At 30.7% G+C, this 24099-nt stretch overlaps 1 protein-coding gene and 1 long non-coding RNA gene across 7 annotated transcripts in view; one reads left to right on the forward strand and one right to left on the reverse strand.

The window, feature by feature from the left end:
• Positions 1 to 24099, reverse strand: part of SI (sucrase-isomaltase) — a 111335-nt gene that overhangs the window by 80983 nt on the left and 6253 nt on the right. For 2 of the 4 annotated variants that reach the window (XM_047448735.1, XM_047448736.1), the window contains exons 2-11: positions 18553 to 18603; positions 16015 to 16132; positions 14651 to 14787; positions 9198 to 9315; positions 8842 to 8951; positions 7460 to 7611; positions 5381 to 5552; positions 3562 to 3661; positions 2491 to 2603; positions 22 to 147 (exon numbers count right to left, since the gene is read on the reverse strand). In XM_047448735.1, the coding sequence (XP_047304691.1) occupies positions 22 to 147; positions 2491 to 2603; positions 3562 to 3661; positions 5381 to 5552; positions 7460 to 7611; positions 8842 to 8951; positions 9198 to 9315; positions 14651 to 14787; positions 16015 to 16132 (1146 nt within the window). In that variant the 5' untranslated portion in view covers positions 18553 to 18603. Of the gene's footprint in view, positions 1 to 21; positions 148 to 2490; positions 2604 to 3561; positions 3662 to 5380; positions 5553 to 7459; positions 7612 to 8841; positions 8952 to 9197; positions 9316 to 14650; positions 14804 to 16014; positions 16133 to 18552; positions 18617 to 24099 lie in introns of those variants that run through there. The other 2 variants (NM_001041.4, XM_011513078.3) reach the window with 2 other exon arrangements.
• LOC105374192 (uncharacterized) lies at positions 12147 to 22157 on the forward strand. 3 transcript variants are annotated; one of them, XR_924668.2, is made up of 5 exons: positions 12147 to 12197; positions 12292 to 12395; positions 13378 to 13531; positions 17656 to 17722; positions 21792 to 22157. It is a non-coding gene; the product is annotated as an uncharacterized LOC105374192 (long non-coding RNA). The 3 variants fall into 3 exon arrangements; XR_007096286.1 differs by lacking the exon at positions 21792 to 22157 and adding an exon at positions 20386 to 20606; XR_007096285.1 differs by lacking the exon at positions 13378 to 13531.

Below are 24099 nucleotides of genomic sequence, written 5' to 3' on the forward strand. Positions count from 1 at the left end.
CGGACCCTTTATTCTACTTACAAATGGTATGCCAGCTTCCCGGTTTCTCCTTACCACTTCTTTCACTACATCTAGTGACTTATAATTCCAGCGACTTAGTTGGAATCCAAGATTCCAATATGCTGGCATTGCTGGTAGTCCAACAAGCTTAAAGTAAATGAGCATGTAATTAGTTTGAATAGAAATAAATATATTTAGCATTAATAACCAAGGTTAATGTGCCTCTTATTTTCTTATATCTCTAAAATTCATTTAAGTTTATATAATTTAAACAAACCTTTAGTGTTACCTGGATTCTAAACAATTTCCTATTCTATTTGAATGTGTTATGAAATTTTTAACAAGTTCATGTCTTGTACTTCACGTTTTAGTTTGTGTTTAAAAATTAGAAAGTGTAGCATATCAGAAAGTAGCTTTTGCCAAGATATGTTTTGTCTATTGTAGAAAGTTAAATAAGATAATACAAGAAAAGCAACAAATAAATAACAAAAGGGAAAATTTTCCACCACACTCCTATTTTCTATTACAAGTCACCATACAAGAAAAACAGAAAAGATGTTTAAAAGTACAGAATTTCTGTTTCCTTACATTTTGGCAGTTATCTATCTCCTGGTTTGCAAAAATGTTAATAAAATATATGTTCTGCAATGCTCCCACCCAGTTATTGCATAGGCTCTTTCTTATTCACATGCAGTGCCTCAGCTTCATTTCTTCCTCCTGGGGACAAATGGATCGCCATCTCTTCCTATTTCTGTAATGGCCCAGGCAATCTCAGTGCAAGAGAATATCAGTGTCACATTACAACAGATGATATAATTTTGCACATGGAAATTTGGATGTAACTGGTGTTTTTTTTTTCACCAGTTAGGTTATATATGATGCATAATCATACTCAACATAATAAATTTTCTTTGGTTTAGGCTTTTATATACATATCATATATATATTATATATATACATATATATCTGGTATATATATTAAAAAAAAATATATATATATATAGGATCCATGATTTCTCCATGATACATATGTAAAAAGTTACTAGGTAACAATCAAAAAGAAATTAATTACTCATGTTGGGTTATTGTTTTCTATTCAAATGAAATACTAAACTTATTTCAAACTTGATATCAAATAAACCTGATATCAAATAAAGCTCTCAAGAATTAGTATGTTTTAAACTATACTCCTAAACACCATATGTTCCATAGAATTAAAGATTTAGACATGTGATTGAAATTTCTTCTCATATATGTGTGAAGAATCAACATATATGTTGACATAAATTTTTTCTCATATATATGTGAAGAATCAACATATATGTAACAATATTCTTTTTGAAATAGTTTGACATTCTGCTGACTTTACTTAACATGTGGGAGATAGCTATGCCAACTTATGTTTGACAATTGGAATATCAGAGTGTTGTTTCTCTCTCTTGTTCATGTGATAATCACACACAAAGTCTATATGTAGGCCAGCCTAGAACTGTAATTATGATTTTATATTACAGATACTGTAAACTTTCTGCGCTTCTTTTCTAAATTTTACATTTATAAACATGAACTTGGGAATGATTAGACATTGTAAATGATTAAACTGCAAAAAACCTTAGCTGCTCTCATTTCAGCTTTTTGGATCCTAATTTAAAATTTTTTATAGTAATCAATTATCTTTTGAGATCATTTTTGCAAATGGGAATTTTATGTCAAAAGGTATATCAAGAAAATAATATTTTTAAAATAGGCATAATCTTAAAATCTTAAACCAATGAAAATAATTTTCTTTTCCATTGTAACACCAGGAATCATATATATCAACAGTGAAAAGAGAGAAATTACATGAAAGTTTTAGAATCATCTTCAGTGTAGGTCCTGGGTTCCCCACCTCTCTAAAGCCCATATTGGGCTCAGGTATACAAGATGTTACTTAATATGTAAATAAGAGTTGCTTAGATAGTAACTGGAGATGTAAAGTTTCAGGCTAGGTTTCAAACTCAACCTTCTGAAGTCCCCAGGATAAGAGCCAATTTTCCTGGAGTTTACCTGCTGTGAATTTATGGCTAGATTCATTGGTCTTCTCACAACTCAGTTACCTCTAGGATTTTGACCAAAAGGATATATGACCTACACATTTATTGCCTATCCTCAGTGTTAAATAAGATAGTTCCTTTTGCTTTATTCCATCAGATAAAGTCATTAATAAGTAAATATATAATATTCAACATCTCAATGAATTCCAATTCTTGAACTCAGCTGCCTAGAGGTAAGAAATTTTGAATTCAGAAACATAGATACTTGAGTATATGTAGAGTTCATTGTATAGGGGAAAAAAAAAACACCCAGCTGCATCTTAAATATGATAAGATTTTCGAAAACATTTAGCTAAGAGGCCCCTACTATGTAAAATAAAGTCATCTAAATATGTGGTCATGTTAGATGAAATAAAAGTATGCAGAAAAAATTTTATAAAATAGACCTGAAACACACCTGTTGATACTGTTGAACTACTTGTTCTGGTGTATCTCCTAGAAGGATGTAAAAATCCAGAATGCCACCGGTAACTCTATATGTTACTATTGGAGTAGGCTGGATAAAAATCTCTGCAAAATAAAATTGGTAAACTTATATGTAAATAGTGAAAAGGATTATAGTAATTAATTGCAAAGTCCATTTAAATTAATTTGTATTAACTACATTATTTTACAATATGTTTAAATAATTAAGAAATAATGAAATATTGAATGCAGGAATAACATAGGAAAAAAGTAAAACGCCAACATGTCTGAGGCTTATAATAAAATATCCCAGCTATTTTCTTTCACAGGTGGTGGCAAAAGCTCCCCTGGATATTGTGTTGCAAAGGGTTAGTTGCAAAGGATTAGTTCTCTGGCGACCAAAAGATTTTTCTCTAAAACTGCATTTTTAATTAGTCGTTTAAATTGAAGATTATCTGAAAGATCAAGTTATCACATATTAATTTCTAAAAGACAAAATGTCAAAAGTTTTAATTTAACTTTTCTAAATGTAAGACACAGTAACTGGCTGGAAAACCATGTAATAAACTGATCCTGCTGAAATGTGATTAATTTCTTTAATTTTTTATTATCACCAATTCACCTATTAGATACTACACTCATAATATTACAAAATAAAATACTACATTATATGAGTTATGATAAACTAAAAAAAATACTCTTTTTTCTACTTCCATAGACATCTTTTTTGTTTTCATTTGTAGTGGCATGTTTACTTATCTCGACAAATGAGATTGTGGGAATGAAAACACCCATTGGCATGGATGTGTTTCAACATTCCTTTGAAAGGAAAATAGAGTGCCTGAATACCACAGCATAGCATACTCTCCCCAAAATAGATGCGCTGGCATGCAAAAATTGATTTTGTCTTTAATTTCAAAATCTTCTTATAATAATGTCACATGTTAATATTAACTATAATAGAGTTTACTCTCACATACAATATGAATGATTGAAATAAAGAGAGCAGTTAAAACATTTCAAGTGAAATCTATAAATATATTATCAAATGAATTATTCTTACCCATTGCATTGCTATTCATTAAAAAAACACCGAATGACTTTCCAGATGTATCTTCAATACACATAAAGAATGTTTGATGGCCGTATAAATTATTATTATTCTATAAGGCAAGAATTTGAAAATACGATTTTCAAATATGTTTAAAACACAAAAAGATTATATATTTTATATGCTCTTCATGAATTAATTTGTTGCTATAATTTACTTCTCCTGTTTCTACACAAATTGTCTTCACTATATGTACCAGTGAAATATTATAGGTAAAACAAAAAACTTCAAACTTTTTAACATTATTAATATAGTAATGTATAAAATATATAACATATATAATACTATTAATATATTACTTAACTGTCCTATTTCATTTTAATTACATTAATTTTAATAACTTATGCCCAGGTGGGTGGATCACGAGATAGGAGATTGAAACCATCCTGGCTAACATGATGAAACCCTGTTTCTACTAAAAATACAAAAAATTAGCTGGGGGTGGTGACACGCACCTGTAATCCCAGCTACTCAGGAGGCTCAGGCAGGAGAATCGCTTGAACCCAAGAGGCGGAGGTCGCAGTGATTTGAGATACCCTCACTGCACTCCAGCCTAGGTGACAAAGTGAGACTCCATCTCAAAAATAAATAAATAAAATAAAAAATAAAAATAAATAAAATAATAACTTAGTCATGATAAGGTAATGGCATGTTTATCAGTTAGGCCCATGTATGCCCAAGGTACTGCAGGAGCTTCCAAAATGATATGTACCTTAATAAAAATTTAGTAGTCTGTTTCTTGAGAGCTGATGAAGAGCTGACATGATAGAGACAAACTGGAAATACACTGATATGATGAAAGGAAAAAGACTTCCTGACTAATTAGATATGGATTTTTAAAGGAAAGGATGTATGGAAATTAGCTCTGACAGTCTCACTCTGGTGTCGATTATAGATAGTGATGCTGCAAACAGAGATTAGTAAAATTTATTAATAATTCTGTACCAAATGAAACTCTTTAAAACAACTACTCACTGGTTTATCTTTGATATAGAAATAGTTAGCATTGCCATTTAAAAAGAAGTAACTGACAAACGTTTGACCCAAATCCATCATGAATCAAACATATTTTTTTAAAGTTATGATGTTTGGTCTCAAAAATCTCACATTTTTTGAGCAACAAACATAAAAACAAACATATACAGGAATAATACACTAATAGGATTATTATACTAAGTCAAGTATAAAGATAAAGACTAAGCCCTTATGGGAGAGTTTGGGAGAAGTTCTTATGAGATAAAATTTTCATTGAGTGCTGAATGATATATGAGTGATAAAGAACATTAAGTTTCAGTAGTTACCAAAAAAACAAACTGTGCAAAGATTTGAAGTTACGGAAAATGACTATATATTATAGAACAGTAAGAAGGACAGAGATGCGTGAGATAATATCTGGTAGCTAGGCAGACATTGTATTATATGAAGACATGTAAAACAGTGTTTGGAATTATTCTAGTGCAATAGCTAGCTATTGATGGATATAAGTACAAGGTGAGTGAAAAAGGAATAATAAAATACGATCATGAAAGTCAAAATAAAACATTTTTAAACTGGAAATCCTGTGAAAACCTTTACAAAATCTGTTGGTCACTGAGTCAATTTAGAACCTATCAATTGTCCCTCCCAAGCTAAACAAGCTTCTATATTGGTATCAGTGACATTCAAATAGTTTAGTTGATCAGTTAAAATAAATGCTGTTTTCAAATATGCTAAGATTTTCATCTGCTGCAATATAGTGATTTTATTTATAACAAGAAAAATAATTTCTTACATCACCAGGAAGTTGGTCTCGAGTAAAAATTGGCCATGTTTTCCAGGATAAATCATGACGAAATCTCTTATGAACTTGTTCTCCAATACCATAAATATAATCACTTGGAAGACGGGTTGAGATCTGTAAGTACTGGTCAGAGTACACTAAGGGACCAATGCTGGTGTCAAACCTGCACCATAAAAGAAATAAAGAAATAATCTAATATATATATATATATATATATATATATATGATATTCTACCAGATACAGGTTTATGTTAACATCATCCAGAAGATTTCATTATAAACATGCCAGTGGTTAGCTTTGGTCACTTCTTAGAAACACACAAATTACCCCATAAAAGAAATTTGTTCACTGCATCAACACAATTTTTGCCAATATCTTTCACATCCATTTCTTTACTTTTCATCACAAGTTCAAAGCATAACTACCATTATCAATCACATTTCAAAGATGACACAAACTGGGATAATTAATTGATGTTTTTAGGGATCACAAACTGGTAGGCAGGAGAGCCAAGTTTCAAACCCAATTCTGCTTGCTCTAGGTACTAGATTTTAAAATACAGTATTTTACTGGCTTCCACACTTAAAAATTAAGTTTGAAAGCATTTTTCCCCCAAAAAGTTTTATGTGTTATGCAGATGAAATATGTACTACCAGAAATGCTAAATGATGTTTATGATTTGTATGCTTTTATTTTTATTGACAATTAGTCATTGCATATACAGTCAGCCCTCCATATCTGTGAGTTCTGAATTCATGGATTCAACCAACCAGGGATGGAAACTATTTAAGGGGAAAGAAAAGAATGGTGCATCTATACTGAACATATACAGACTTATTTTTCTTGTCATTCTTCACTAAACAATATAGTATAAAAACTCTTTACATATAATTTACATTGTATTCATTATTATAAGTAATCTAGAAATGATTTAAGTATACAAGAAGATGTGCATAGTTTATATGCAAATATTATACAATTTTATATAAGGAACTTGAGCATCCATGGATTTTGGTATACTCAGTGGGGGAGTGGGGATTATCCTGAAAGCAGTCTCCCATGGATACTGAGGGAGGTCTGTATTAATGGGATACAATATGATGTTTTGATGTACATTATTTGATGATAAAACTAATTAACATATCCACCACACCACATACTTTTTACCGCACATTTAGAATTTATAGTAGTCTCTTAGTACTTTTGCAATATATATTAAATTATTATTTTATTATTAACTATAGTCATCATGTTGATTGGTCTCAAAAACATGTTGTTTCTGTCTAATCCTTTGACCAACATCTCCCCCATTCTCCTCCACTCCCAGCCTCTGGAAACCATAATCCTACTTTCTGCTTCTATGAACTCAACATGTTTTAGATTCAACATATAAGGGAGATCATACAGTATTTGCCTTTTTGTGCCTGGCTTATTTCACATGGCATTTAATATTTTTATGATTTAACACAAAGTCATAAACAAAAGTACTAAGATACATTTAATAAGAGTAATTGCTGAGATTTAATCTTGACAATTGCTTTATTAACAATTCTTAGGGATACAAGAGCATTTATCTTGAAACCATTCCTAGGAAATTACCAAATCTCTTGCACCTACACCCCTCATACAATCATAATGAAGGTGTTCATTCTATATTGGATTCTACATATATATAAATTATTTTAATATTAATATGGGAAATAACTCCTCTTTGGTCTTTGAATAGTAACTGTCTGATTCTACAAATTGGCAACAAAATACGATAAATATAAGGGGGAAAGACACAAGAGCTATTCTAGGTATGTACAAATATATGCAAGGCTAGGGTTGCATTAGTGAAGCTCTCCACCTTCATCTTTGTTCAACCTTTATTTGTAGATTCTAATTTATGTTCCAGTATCTTTCATCCACAAGAAACCAAACTCCTTTATCACCGTAATTTTTATAAACCTATCCACCTACCCTCTTTTGGGAGGAAATTTATTTCTACTGAAAATGTCTTGAAATTAAGACTTTCCAATTCTATAATAATAGAATAAACTTATATAATTGTAAAATAATACACTTACAAAGTTTTACCGTTGCTTTTCCTAATAACTTGGATGCTAAATGGGTTTTGGGCAACCTTCACATCATACAACGTATCAGAAACTGTGGGTCCAGTAAACTCTTTTACATACTGATGAGGAACTTCATATCTTCTATTATTTGGATCAGTAATCTGGAAAGATTTAAGCAAGGTAGCATTACTGGATTCTAAACTATTATTTAATATTCCAGTTCTGAATTATTAAATGCAAGTTCCAAATAAAAAATAACGTGGTGATTAGTTTCATAGAAGAGTATTAATTCAGAACCTTAATTTTAATATTTTTGAATGGCTATGCACAGAAAAAGTGTATAAATTTTAAAGAAATACATAGAATTAGTTGGTTATGAAGTATTATGTATAAAATTAAGTACAGATTTTTATTGACTGATATAAAAATGACAGTATTACCAAATATTGATTACAGAATATTAGACCTTTGTGAATTTAATCAATCTCAATGCTTTTCAGTGTTTGGGTCCTTATATAACTATATAAAGATAAGAATCTTACCCATAAAGATAAGAAATTTTGTTTAAAAAAATTATAGAAACTAAAAAGAAGCACTGAAATAAAGCAGAATCACTGAGAAAAAGAAAAATTTAGTTCCAGTGAAATTATTGCTAAAAAGGTGATATACAAAGAATTTGGTGCTGTTTTTACTTCCAAATCCAAAATATTTATACTAGTAAACTACGTGCTAAAAAAAAGAATCATAGTTTTTAAAATCATGAATAAAATTTATAATCAGTGAAAGTATTATGTTGCATGTATACGACACTAACACTTTTCTGAAATTAAATTTTAGATTAATCTTCTGCATAGCCTGTAGTTTAAATAATAAAAATTTTCAAATGTTTCTTGAGAATGTTTATTTTCTTCAAGGCATTAAGCTAAATATTTTACATGAACGATATTATTTAAAGCCTCCAAAAATAAGTGCAGAGCACACTATTATTATTCGTATGTTATATTTGCATAAACAATTTGAGAGAAGTGCAGTTTAATTAATTCTTTGCCTTGGAATAAATATTTCTCAAGAGAGAAAATGTATTTGTAGGATGAAAGGTGTGTTCATCAAATGTCTCACTGAAAGCCCCAACTCCCGGGTTCTCGCCATTCTCCTGCCTCAGCCTCCCGAGTAGCTGGGATTACAGGCGCCCGCCACCACGCCTGGCTAATTTTTCGTATTTTTAATAGAGACGGGGTTTCACCCTGTTAGCCAGGATGGTCTCCATCTCCTGACCTTGTGATCCGCCCACGTCAGCTTCCCAAAGTGCTGGTATTACAGGCGTGAGCCACCGCGCCCAGCCCATCAAATGTCTTTTAGTATTAAATCTTTGGAAACCTTAAAAACCGAACCTTGAACCGGAAACGATTGGGTGTCTGATTTTGAGTTGTGAAGAGAACACTGTTGATGTCATTTCCAAATAGTGTAGGTGAAGGTATCCTGTTTAATTTGGCTTCAACTCCTTAAAGAATAAAAAAAAGCTGCCATGAGTGACTTGATTTATAATGTTAACAATTATTAAATATATTTATGTTATTGTATTTACCACAAATGAGTACTTTTTAAATTTGTTACAATCATGCAAAAATAAGGAATTTGAACATTCTCAGGAACATATTTCTTATTTGATTCTATTTAAGGTATTTTCCACATTTTCGCTCCAGTTAGAATATATCATATTGAATCATTATAACAGAGGACTTCTTACCAATACTTGTTGTTGTCATGTCTTGAACGTTATAACCATGATTATCAACGAAGAAGCACCAAGGAATAAGAGAGTCATTCCACGGCCTCCAGCAGCAGCCTCTCTGTGCACAAATTCCCTGATAAAATATTTTTAAAGGAATTATATAATTACTACTATTATCAGATGTCCCAGTCTCTGTTTTTCCAAGGAATGAATATTTTAAAATAATCTAACTTTTTCAAATGTATAATATGCCAAAATAGCATTTGCTCTTTTGTTTCTTCTACCTGGAAGAAATACAAGTATTTAATAAATTGAATTAATTACACCCTGTCAGAAATTTATAACCTGAGATGTGATTATTAAAATCACGTATCTATACAAATTTTTGTAAGCTTATGTATTTTAAAGGAACCTGATCTCTAAGTAATTATAATTTATTCTGTTGCCATGGTATTGACATGGAAGAACTGAAATATTTATTTTGTACTAATTATGTATCAAGCTGAAATTTAAACTAGGAGGATGAAAATATGGCCTTGAATTTAAACCCACTTAAAATGTGTAAGGGATTTAATTCTACCTACTTACTAGTTCATATTTAATTATTTAAACTATCTTAACTAGTTTATGTGCCAGGTATCACAAGTAGTTGCTGCAATAGCATTCAATTAATAAAGCAAAATACTGAATTCTCAGTAATTTTATTAACCATATGGAAATACTATCTGAAGTGAAAGAAAAATTATAAATGTTTATTTATAAATAGTTTAGCAAAATAGTGATGCTATGCATGAATAGCAGTATAATTATAAATCTATGTAAATTTAATAGTGTGACACACTTTCATAATTTGAAAAATTGTAGGATTTTCCCCTTTGCTTACTTTCCATGAAAATAAGTTTTTAAAAGCCTCCATTTTAATCAGCTGAAAGTGTGCACTAACCTTTCTCCTATTTTATCCTCAAATTAAAATGGTATCAGATACAGACACACACACACACGTATATAATATATATAGTATATGTACTATATATTTATATATTTTATATAATATTTAAATAGATAAGTATATGGGATATATGTATATTTATTATATATAAAATATATTTTGATATATTTATTTATATATAAAGTATATATTATATATAAAATATGTTTATATAGAATAAAAATACACATAGTTTTATTTTTATGTATAATAAATATACATATATGATTATATACATATATAATTATATATGTATATATACATATATTATATATATAAAATCTCTCTAAACACCATATATATATATATATATATGTGTGTGTGTGTGTGTTTGAGTATGTATTTATATATTTATACCCAAACACACATATACACATATACATTGCAAACTGGGGTACAATTGGATCTAATAACTTATTAGAGTCTAAAGTGTGTGCAACTTTTGATCAGGCAATTTTATCTCCAGTTATCTAACCTGTAGAAATACCTAGCAATACAAAGAGACAATTCTACAAAAAAAATTACTTACAGCAGTCTCTATGAAAGATTTGTATATAAAACTCTAAATACATTTATATAAATACATCTATAAACACACAAAGGTGCTAAGTTTAAAAAATAAGAGGAAAGAAATAAGCACACTATAATCACAATTTACATAATTAAAAATATATAGTAAAATAGGCTTACGTTAATTTCCTGAAAATATGCCATATTAGTTTCCTATGTCTTTCATAACAACCATGGAAAAGGTGACTTAAAGCAACAGAAATTTACTCTCTCACCGTACTGGAGGTTGTAAGTCCTAACTCAAGGTGTCAGCAGAGCCATGCTGCCTCCAAAGGCTTCACAAAATAATTCTCCCTTGTCTCTCTCTAGCTTCTAGTGGCTCCTGGCAATCCTTGGCATTCCTTGGCTTATAGGCGCCTTTTTCCAATTTTTGCTTCCATTTCACAGGGCTTTCTTCCCTGTCTGTCTCTGTGTGTGGTTCCTTCCTCTTATAAGGACGTTAGTCATTCGACGCAAGGCCCAAATTAATTTACTACGACTACATCTTAACTAATTGCTTCTGGAAAACTATATTCCCAGATAAGCTCATATTCTGCGATTCCAAGTAGACACGAATTTTTGGAAAACATTATTTAACCTACTACATATACACTCCAACATATTAATTAAAAATGTATCTCCCTGTTGTTGCTTTCAAAATATTAGTAATTTTAATTTATCTTGCGAAGATTTTGATACTTGTTATTTATGTTTAGTTGGTCTTCCTATTTTTCAGGGTTTTAGGCATTTTCCTCATTATTTTTAATTTCTCATCTAATTATTTTCCTTTTGCCTTCATCTGACACAGTTAAACTCTAGCAAATAAAGGTATAATAAATTTATCATATTTTAACATATTTTATCATATATATGTATATACATTATAAGTGATTATATATTAAATGTAATAATTTCATATGTAATAATATATAATGTGTATTCAATATGTAGATATGTATATTCACTGTATTATGCCCCCGAAATTCATATGTTGAAGCTCTAACCCCCAATGTGAAGGTATTTGGAGATAGGTCCTTTAAGGGGTTAATTAAGTTTAAATAAGGATATAAGGGTGGGGCCCTAATTCATTAGGACTGGTGTCCTTATAAGAAGAGGAAAAGACAGCGAAGATCTCTTTCTCTCTGTGCACGAAGAGGAAATACTATGTGAGGACAAAATGAGAAGGAAGCTGTCTACAAGCGAGAAAGAGAGGCCTCACTAGAAACCAACCTTGATGACACCTTGATCTTGGACATCTAGCTTCCAAGACTGTGAGAAAATAATTGATATTGTTTAAGCTGCCCATTCTGCGGAATTTTGTTATGGCAGCCCGAGCTAATGCACTTTGCATGGAATTATGCCTGTTACCTAGGTAACCATTTGATTATTCTATATTTTGTCATCATTGTGCAATAAGCAAACATGTCCTTTCTAATATACAATAAACATGCCATTTCTAGTATACAATAATTTATACAGTAAGTTTAATATAACCAATTTTCCAATTTTAACAATCATGATCTATCCTCATGTATATGAAAACCTAAGATAAATCTTTTTTTTTAAATTAAGGAAATTTTTAGAAAATCATTACTTTAACCAACTTCAATCTCTACCACTGCATTTGGAACAAATAATATTTAGTCAGATGGAATGCCTCTCAAATATTTAAAAGAGTAAGTGTATATATTTAAGATGATAAATAATTGCTTTAGTTGATCCGTTAAGATGGTGGAAAATTAACATTTGAAGTATTTTAAAGAATCTTTAGGGTATTTAATGAAAAGTATTATTAAAGATACATAGCTATAAATAACAACAACAACAACAAAAAACCCTGAGTGACAAAGTTTGAATAAAAATCATATTTGAAAATTGCAACATCTCCTAAAGCAAAAAAAGGCAAATATTTAGGCCCGTTTTCTAATTTCAGGTAGATTTCATTTTTCATTCCTTTATGATTTATTTTTTAAATCCATTTCCTATAATAGAAAAATGCTACCTTGAAAATTCATCTACTTAGAAAATTATGACATGCTAGTTAAAGAACAGTGACTACTGAGTTCGTGAAACATGAGCTCACATTGAAATTTGCATACCACTGTTCTAATTCCAGTTTTGCCTGTAAACTAGCAAAGTGACACTGGAATATTAATTTAGCCTTGAAAAACAGTCTAAGCTTCCATATAAATCCAAAACTTTGTGAATAAGATACCATTTAAATGATAATCTCTTTAAAATCATTTTAAGTTGCACTTTTCCTAGTTAAAAATGTCAAGAAAACACTCAAATTCTTTTGAGATATACTAAGTTAAACTTTTAAAACTGTAAGTTGTATTTTTATAAATAACAAGCATAAATATATTGGCTGAAGTTTAACTTGCTTACTTCACAAATATAGTTTATTTCACACTGAAAACATTCTTCAGCAATCTAACAGTTTAGGTTGACACTAAAGACTAATATTAGGCAAGAAAAATGTAAACCACTGACTTTCAAATATTGTTTCCCTATAAGACCTTCAAAACCCATATTGTTCCTAATAGAATTCTATGTTTAGCTTCAATCATTTCTCTCTCTCTCTCTCTCTCTCTCTCTCTCTCTCTCTCTCTCTCTCTCTCTCTCTCTGTCTCTTTCCCTCTCTCTCTCTCTTTCGAGACGGAGTCTCGCTCTGTCACCCAGGCTGGAATACAGTGACGCGATCTCTGCCCACTGCAAGCTCTGCCTAAGAAGGTTAAGTAAAGAGAATATCTGGCCACTTTCCTCAGTGTATCTCAGTAAATACTATGTTATTTAGCTCTTCTATCAGCAGGTAAGCTATAGGACCTATTACTTGTAATGTTACTCAAAGGAAAATCTCATCTCTTTCAATTTTTTTTCAAATTAATTAGAAAATTGCATGCTTACTATGATGTAGGGAAGACAGAATAGGGACAAAATAAATTTTATAGTTTATTCAGTTAATTTGTGTGTGGTAAGGTGGAGTGGAGAAGGTGACATTTGTAATTGCATATCATATTTGCAAATGCAAATATTTGCAAAATGTCAATATATAGAGTCAGCCCTCTGCATCTGTGGATACAACAAACTGTGGATCAAAAATATTTCAAGGAACAAAAAATATCAACATGGTAATAAAAATAATGTAAATAAAAAACAATACATTATAACAATTATTTGTATAGCATTTACATGGTATTAGAGTTATAAATACTCTACAGATGATTTAAAGTATACAGGAGAATGTGCATAGGTTATATGCAAATACTGCCATTTTATTTGAGAGATTTGAACATCTGCAGATTTTGGTATCCTCAGAAGTCCTGAAACCAATTCCCCGAGGATACCCATGAAGGACTGTACATATACACCCACACACAATGACTTTTATTCCCACACAGGTTTGTGGGGAAAAAAAGGAAGAGTGAACTTGGGTTACATGAATCCAATTGGTTACACCTAATTTTCTCCATTTTCTCTTCTTCACTTCTAATTGCTAAATTAAAAACAATTAATAATTTTCATAAAATGAGTATTTTGTTTTCCACAGATACTTCTTAATGCTATCATTACAAATACTCTACTGGAACATATATACTCCCTCCTAAATGTTCTATATTATCAAAGGTATACTTTCTTAAAGAAGTAGATTTGAGATGACAGAATTTCATGAAGATTTGTAAAATTAACTATAACTTGTTAAATATGGATGAATATTAACTTGTTAATTTAAATTGAGCAGAGATAAAGGAAAGCAAGGTCAGTAACTTCTATTATCTATCATTTTTAATAGGAAGCTATAATAAAATGATAAATTCAGCCTAATTTATGTCTAGATCTTTATTAAATAAGATCGATCCAATATTCAGCAATTATCTTAATATAATAATGTATATATTCATTAAAAATATTAAAGACTTTTGCTGCAGACCTCTGTTGGGAATTGTTCTGGAATGCAGTTTATTCTCACATTGACAGGATCATTTAACACATTTGGACATTTTCCTGAATCAGAAGGATTTGTAGTCACACGAGTAGTAGCTGGAGTTGAAGTAGAATCACTAATTTCTGGGGGAGGAAAAAACTCAATAAAATAAAACATGACATTAAATTAATTTTCTCAGAATTATCAAGTAATAAGTACTTTTTGAAAGAATACATGAATTCATATAAAATGAAAATTTTAAAATAAATTTTGCATTTAAAAAGACCCACAATTTCAAGCACTAGTCATCAAAAGGAAAAGATCCAATCATACTTTTAAAATTGACAGTGTAGAATCCTATTGACTGTTTCTGAAGAAATACAAAATATATTTACAAAAGGACTTGGTGTAGATTCAGAAGGTAACAAAATATACATTCATACTGTATTTACAACTTGTATTTTATAGCTGAAGAAAAGATGGAGCAATATGAGTTATGAAAAACATATAGAGAAGGTGAGAAGAAATTAGAGAAGAGGAAAGTAGGTGAAAGTTATTCAAATTATCCCTTGCAAGGGAATAATTTGATAGGTAAAGTAGAGAAAGCTGGAATAGCGAAGAATGGTAGATACCAACGCCATATAAATAACATTCCAGCAATGAGATATCATTAAAATATATTGCTTCATAATACAGTAAGCTCTCAGTTTCTGGAAGTAGGTAAAACAAAAGATTAACAGGAATAGGAAATGCTAACTGTAGTCTAGAAGATAATGTGTAACATCCTTTACAATACTGATTTGCTCAAGAGAGAATAATGAAGAAAGAGATTCAGCATTCCGTATGTACCAACTCTAAATTAGAATTAAAATATTCAGAAACAGATAATTAAACTATCCAAGTCTTTTTTCAACTTTCCTCTACCTGCCTTTCTCATACAACCTCTCTCTCTCCTTAAAATAAAATCTAACCAGAACAAAGAATATTTGCTAAAATCCTTATTTCCTTTGCAAGTGTGTGAAGGCTGGAGCAAAAACCCAGGTTTTCCCACTAATGAGATGATGCTCACACCAGTAGGCGATTATTCCACCTTACATTAACGATTTGATCCCTTTGCCTCTTTGCTCTTTGTCAAGTAGCTAGGGAAGGCAATTCATGTCAAAGCACATGGATTCCTTACTTACAATAGCTCATCATTGAAATATGGAATATAATGAATAGAAAAAGTGGAAGTAATTGTGTAACTTACCCTGGATTTTTCTATAAGTGTTTCATCTTACACAGATTATTTTTTAAAACCTATAACTATTGTGGAGTAACTTCCTCCTAACTTCACGATAATGTAGCCATGCTTTTAATGTACTACTTACCATCAACAGCAGGTGTCTTAGTTGCTAAAACAACAATTAAGGCAATAGCTATTATAGTAACTATGACAAAAAGGACAATCAGAGAGATTTCCAATCCACTAAATTTCTTTCTTGCCATCTAAAAACAGAAAAGAATATATATTTAAAATGTAAAATATATAACTATAATAAACCACCAACAATTCTCATGAAATTACATATTCTTTTTTTTACTATGTATAATGCAGAGTTGAAGACAGCACTTACATAATATCCTAAATTAAGCACTTACTTAATAATATATTAAGCATGTACTTAATAACCTGAAACTTATACTGATATAAAATGTAAGCAACACATGCAATTTAAAGTAAAAGGAATGAATTACTGATGCACATTACAGTAGTAGTAGTACACTAAGATGAAAATACAGATGGAAAAAAAGATCTTCAAGTAGGTGTGTCTTGCCTTCTCATTTAGAGCATTTTGCAAGGCAAAGGCTTCCACTTGCACTGTTTCTCAATTCTCACAACAATTCTATGAAGGAAATAGTTATTCACATTTTACTGATCAGGAACTTTAAGCTTAACAAAGAATAAGTTATAGTTCAAAGTTAAAAACTTCAGTTTTTTTCTTGAACTCTCCTCTCTCTAATTCCAACACTACTTTCCACAATATTGTCGAAAAGAACATAAATACATATATTTGATAGAATAGTATATATTTGGGAGTTGCTACTCTGTTTAAAAATCTTTTGAATTTTCACCAAGTTCCTTCATCAAACAGCAGCAAATGAGATATACAAAACTCTTATATCAAAAATACATATTTATTATTAAAAGACATTATACTTTTGAGGTAGCATATGGAAGATACCCAAATGTAGACAGGAAAGAACACATCTCCAATAATTATCTGAAAGCATATTTGTTTAATTTAATTTTGACCACATATATCTTATTTTTCTTAGTTCTCAAGTTTCCATGGATTATCTGTATTCTATGATTTTAGTATAAATCTTAATTCAAAGACATATACCAAAGTAGAACTTAGAATTACTACAGTAAGTGCTTTAATAAATTATTGGGTTTAAAATCACGGTTTGTTTTTTTTTTTTTTTTTGGTCTCACAATGGTCCCTGTTCTGTAACTATGTCAACTCATGTACCCAGTTGTCCCAACCTAAACACCTTTTTTTCCTTCTTCCATATGTTTTACAACATTCAATCATTCAATAAGTCCATCTGACTTTATCTTCAAAGTATTTTTAGAATTATGCCTTCATTTTATCCCCAGCACCACAGCATAATTTTTAGATAACATATTGCCTTCATACCTGCTGTTCAATTTCAATCCCTCCCCATCCACTCTTCTAGGTGAATTCTAAATTTTGCTGAATTCAAATGCCATGGTGAGTTCCTTACCACTCTGAGGCACAGTTAATCTAGCCTTTCTTCATTTACCATAGCATATTAAATGTCCATTGCAATTATTTATGTATATGTTAATTTCCTCAATTAGATCGTTACATTCTTGTTAGCAAAAATTATAAAAGTAGTCAGAGAATAATATTAAGTAAGCAAAAACTTAATTTTTTAGTATAGCTTATAAATGAATATCTGCAGATTAGCATTTATTCTTAGTATACAATTTTCTGTTCCAGATATGTAAGCTGTTTATTGCATCAGTAATTTTCAAAGAAAATGAATGTAAAGTAAACAGAGCAACAGGTAACATACAAAGCTGTTCGAAAAATGAAGCCCAGTTGCGTGATGTTATGTTGAGAAATGACAAAGTTACATTTAGTGTACAACTTTAAATAAGTGTAAATCTCATTTGAAGTGATAACCTACTTTGCTACCAAGAAGTCAATAATGAGAATTGTGCTTTCCTTTTTGATAAGGGAAGTCTTAAAAAATGCATTTTTGTCATGAAACAAACTCTCCTTTGTCTAGAAAAATCAAAACAAAATTTAAAACAATTGCTTAAAATTACTGTGATAAAAAAATATGATCCCTGTAATTTTGGATTACAGTAATTTTAAGCAACTCTTCTTGGAAAATATATATTGATACCCTTTCTCTGCATATTTATTATGAAGATGAATAATACTTTATTGTATAACAACTTGATGAATGATCTTTAAAAGGTCAGCTAGAAAACAGTAATGTTTTATAAATGTAGCATTCTATTTTATATAGATTTTCTTAAAATATATTTAAGCATACTTTATTATTCATCTATTTTTCAAAATCTTAATCAGTACTCATTTTCTTTCATATAGAGTCATTAAACAAAACTTGCTATGATTCCACCTAAGTCTTACAAAAGTTATAATGAAGAGTTGGGCCAAAAAAAATCCTGTATTTAAAAAAAAATTAGAAATATTTTTTCCTGTTTAATACAAGGTACTACATATTTCAAATGGCAACTTAAAATATATGATATTGCTATTTTAGCCTAGTGCAGATAGATGGGAATACTGCTAACACAAATTAAGAAAAAATATAATTAGTTGAAAACATAAAAATAACAAAAAACATATGAGCCATAGACTTACCTTATTTCATAGCCTGTTCTCTTTGCTATGTTGTACCAGACTTGGATAAGGCTGCCAAAATAATGATCAAGGAAAGCTGCTTAGGTATATATTGACCTACTCATAAAGTTTTATTGCACCCTTACCAGCCTATCAGTGTTTAATAATCTTCTGCTCAACATACAATTGTTAAAAGCCTTAACCCTGAAAGTAGTTTACATAAATGTTTCTCTCTGGGAATCTAAGTTAATTAGTAATTGTACTGTCAGATACTCTTTGATTTCTCAAAGCTGTGAACTATTAATATCTTAAGAACATAAAAGTAGTTCTTTCTATTTTTTCTCTTTTCAAAATTATATTTATTTTATATTTGGATTTTGTTATAATAACTATTTTGTCCATTGTGTGCAATTTAGATCCTCACTGGAGAGTAGAAACATATTTGAAAGACAGAATCTGTGAAAAATTTTCAGGATATAACAATTAGAAGATAATATTTTATAAAAAGTAATGATTAAATAAAAATTATTCCCTGTATCTTGTCTTTGATCTTAAGGTTGAAAAAGTGACCAAATCCTTAAGTATAAAACATAAAATAGAGGTGCCCAGATCAGTAATTTAGAGATAAAATCAACATTTTTATCTATTTATTTACCACAGATAGCACTCATTGAATTATAAAAAATCATATTGTAAACCTTCTCATTTCATGTAGTAAAATGTATAAAATTAATTACACTACTGGTTTAAGCTAGCATAATGTTTAAAAGCAATGGATTTGATATAATAAATTTGGATATAAATGCTGGCTGTACTATGCTTACCTGAGAAATTGTGGGCAAAATACTACCTATAAAATCACTAAAAGAATTATATGAGCTAATATTGCTTAATTATTATTGACCCCAATTTGACTCTGAAATTGTCAGAGTCTAAGCCTTGCATACCATCTGGATACTATCTTTTCAACAAAATATATATTAAAATAATGTGTTTGCATAAAGTAGAGCAATTAGTTTTTGAAGCAAACTAAATATGAGTCTAAAAAGAAAATTTAAAAAAAGTATGCATGGATTGTTGTAAGACTCAGTAGCTATATAAAGGAGAAATTTCAGTATATAAAATCAGTTATATAGCAATAAGTTTAAAATCAGTCCAGAATGATCTAAATAGGAAAAATATAATAAAACTTTTGAGTGATTTACTCTCTATTCATATGCCACATTATTTTATATGTGTAAAATCTCACTAAATGAACTCAAAGCTCCTAGAACCAATAGGCAAGCAAAGCAAGGTCACAGGATATAAGGTCAACATACAAAGGTCAATCATGATCCTACCTAATAGCAAGGAAGAATTGGAAACTGAAACTACAATATAGATATAGACAGAGATATAAGTTGATAGATAGCTAGATTATCAATTAGAATAGCACCAAAAAATGTTGATGAAAAAGTTAAAGATTTTAAAAATTGAGAGATACGCCATATTCATAGACTGCAAAACTCAGTATTAAGCTGCCAATTTGCCACTATTAGATCTACACATAAAATATAATCTAAATCAAAACTCCATGAAGTAAATATAGACAAGCTGATTGTAAATTTTGTATACCAATTTGTATAACAGCTTTATTGATAATTTCCCCAAACTGGAAACAACAAAAGTGTCTGTAAACTCTGGCATATCCATACAATAGCAAACTACTCAGCAATGAAAAGTTATAAACTACTGATTTATGCAACAACATTGATAAATCTTATATTTCAGATCAATTGTTTTCCCTTTAATTTTAGTTCTCTGATAGATTCAAGAGAAATAGTTAACAAGTTGTCTTTTTATTTCTTCCTTTAGAAGTGAGAGCAAAGATTCTTTCCAGCTTTCCACATCTTTGAATTGAAACGATAAGCCTCTGTCAAGTTTTAACTAGTCCTCCTTTACATGTTCCTTTATTTATAGAAATATTTCAAGTAACAGCTTTTGTTCTCTCCAGTTAAAAACTTTGTGTGATTTTCATGCTGCTAAAAAGACACATGCACATGTATGTTTATTGTGGCACTATTCACAATAGCAAAGACTTGGAACCAACCCAAATGTCCATCAATGATAGACTGGATTAAGAAAATGTGGCTCATATACACCATGGAATACTATGCAGCCATAAAAAAGGATGAGTTCATGTCCTTTGTAGGGACATGGATGAAGCTGGAAACCATCATTCTCAGCCAACTATCGCAAGGACAAAAAACCAAACACTGCATGTTCTCACTCATAGGTGGAAATTGAACAATGAGAACACTTGGACACAGGAAGGGGAACATCGCACACTGGGGCCTGTCATGAGGTGGAGGAAGGGGGGAGGGATAGCATTGGGAGATATACCTAATGTAAATGACTAGTTAATGGGTGCAGCACTTCAACATGGCACATGTATCCATATGTAACAAACCTGCACATTGTGCACATGTACTAGAACTTAAAGTATAATTTAAAAAAAGAAAGTCTTAAAGAAACAGACAGAAAAAAAAAACTTTGTGTGATTTTGAATTTGTGTACCTTCTATTTCGTATCGTTATCTCCCTGTCATGTCAACAAACTGGCCTTTGTTTTAAGCAATTACTTCTGCCACCCTAGCTCTGGTTCCAACAATGAACCTCAATCAATCGAATAAGGTGTTCAAAAAATGCTTAGAAGGTAAATTCAGATAAAAATCACAAAATAAATGTATTCAATTATAAGCATAAGGAAGTTATGTACAGTAATTAAAAAGGTGTTTTAACTTAAAACATATCATTTTATTTAAAAACAAATATAAATTCTTAAAATTTCAATTATTAATATAAAGTTGTCCAAAAACTTTAAAACTTCATAAGCAAAATGATCCCCAAATTGAGTTGGATAGTCAGCAGGCAGGATGAGTTGTGAACACCAAAAGTGAATCATAACTGGTGATTGACACCTAGTGTAATTAGAACAGATTAATGTTCAACTACTCTCTTTAGGGAGTATTATGTACTTTGTCTCTGAAATGTGCATGTCAGAATTTCAAACATATGGTAGTTAAATCATGGACGTCTACAGTAGTTAAATCATGGACCTCAAATATGCACCTTAGGTTAAAAGTTACATGATTTAATATACTAGTTTTATATGTTACTTGCCACCAGGATGCAACAAAAAGACAAAAATCGAATTTTCACAGCGATAATGCAGAGATATTTCAAAATATTAAATAATAAAAAATGTTCTGCTTCTTTTAGAGGCCTGTGAAAAAACTAGAAAGAAAACAGCCACATGGCAAGAGAAGAAGGAATGGAAGAAGGCTCTGGGAGGTGTTGAATTTGTTTGAGTTCTTTCTCCTAGAAGACAGAAGCAGGTGCAATAGAACACAAATATAAAAAGGGAAGCCAAGGTTCCTGCCTGGGTCATAAAAAATACTGGATACAAAAGATTTTAGAAGAAGAAGGAGAAAACAAATTCAGGGGCAAGACACCAGAACCATTGGAAAGACCGATGGAGAGTTACGTGAAGAGCTTCCAGAAAATAAGGCATATACAAGTGCTAGTATTCCAGTCTTACACACAGATGCATAGATAAATAAATAACATCACACATTTGCTAATAAATAGCACAGATGACTTTTTAGATGTATCTCTAGATGTAACGATTCTTAGAAGCTTCATACCCAAATTTCCAGATATCTTCAACAGTCTAAAGTAGAACTCTTTACCAGCTCCATCAAGACAATTCTTTATCTAGCTCTATCTCAATTGATATCTTTACATCTCCCCAAGCAACGTGAGCTCAAGACTTTTAATTCCTTTTTGTTAAGCGTTCTATATTGACACTTAATTCTGCAAGTGCTCTTCCTCAGTGTCTCATACGTAATTCTATTTATTTGCTGCTACTGGTATAACAATTACATTATTGTAATTGTTTCCTAACTGGTCTCCCAAACTCCAGTTATTCAACTTTTCTCTTTTCTCTAAAGTAAAACCACCCACCTCTCACCACAAAATAATTCAACTCATTATATGCCCAGTGCAGTAGTCCAATGATACTTAATGCCTGGAGGCGGAGAACCAAATTTCTTAACCTTATTTTTAAAACCCTATACCTTTCATATTTGCCATTTCATCTCCCCTACTTTTCCCTTCATAACAATGTGTTTCATGCTTGTAGTATAGTGCTGTCTTAGCTTGTCTCATATTAAAGCTATCCATAATTGCTTCAATTGGTCATGTGAGACTGGAAATGCAGAGAGAGCCAGGACAATGCTTTCCTTGCCTTTGCTTAATTCAAAATGCTTTTCAGGATGTTTTATATACAGTAGAATATAGCAGTGACTGCCACTTGTATATCCATATCAATTCTCCCTTATCAAAGCTCACCAGTCAAAGTCTATACAGAACTCAAATGTGGTCAAACAAGGAAGAGCAGGGTCTCTTAGTAACAGGAAGTTGGAAGAGGCTTATTATAGGATTTAGACTTGTGCTGTGTGGCTATAGAGGCTAGAGAAAGGAAGGCTAGCTTTGAATTGAATAATGTCCAGAAGTAAGAGCAATTCAGTAACATAGTTGCCAGGTATCATAATCTTTGTTCAGGACACTGGAGGAACAAAATCATGCTAGGGATATATCATTGGTAATAAAACAGCAACATACTCAAAAGTCAATTTTTGCAGCTACAATATGGCCTTGTTAAAAACATGGTTTATTATAATCTAACCATTAACAGCTAATTTTTCATTTTCTCTCTTTTCTTTCTTTTAGTGATAGAACCACCTAAATTTAATAGGGTATGTGGCTGTCCAGACTATGCTATTAAACCCTTCATGTTGCTAATTTTGTGTATGTAGCTAAATTCTAGTCAATGGGATGAAACCTGATTTCATGCTTGTGACTTCCATAGTACATTTTTTTTTAAAAAAAGAAACAGCTTTCTCTCATTCATCCTTTACTTCATTCTATGAACCAAACACATATGTATTTCTGTAGGTCAGCTTTGACTATGTATTTCCTTGGAGATAGTGGAGTAAAAAGTTAGAAGGCTCATAAGATTCCATGACAACTTTGTGGAACATAGCTACCTGTCTACCCTAGATCGTTCACCTTCTTCTGAATAGTAAATGAAAAAGAAATAATCTATCTTCCTTTACCCAGTGAACATTTGAATCTTTTCATTAGAGTAGCTTGTTTCATACTCATTTAATAACATATGACAAGATATTGGCCATTGAATTATGAATTATAATAATAAAATGTTAAGTACCTCTACTATGGATCTAGAAGTTCTTAGTTGGATTATGTGCATTATCTATTACCTTCTTTGGCCTTCCATTATGTAACTTGCCAAGTATTTTTATGAATCAGGAAACTATTTGCATAGATACACTGAATAAACATGTAAGACTAAGAAGAAATAATAAAAAACAAAAACCTTAAAAGGATTATAATATCATTATAGATAATTGTAAAATGAAAAGGAGTTTCACTCATGCTTTGTTGTTTGATGACAAAAGTCTTATTTGTGTTGTCAAATCTGCATTTTTGAAATGTGAACTGTGGA

Source organism: Homo sapiens, chromosome 3 (assembly GCF_000001405.40).
Source record: "Homo sapiens chromosome 3, GRCh38.p14 Primary Assembly".
Taxonomy (NCBI): Eukaryota; Metazoa; Chordata; class Mammalia; order Primates; family Hominidae; genus Homo; species Homo sapiens.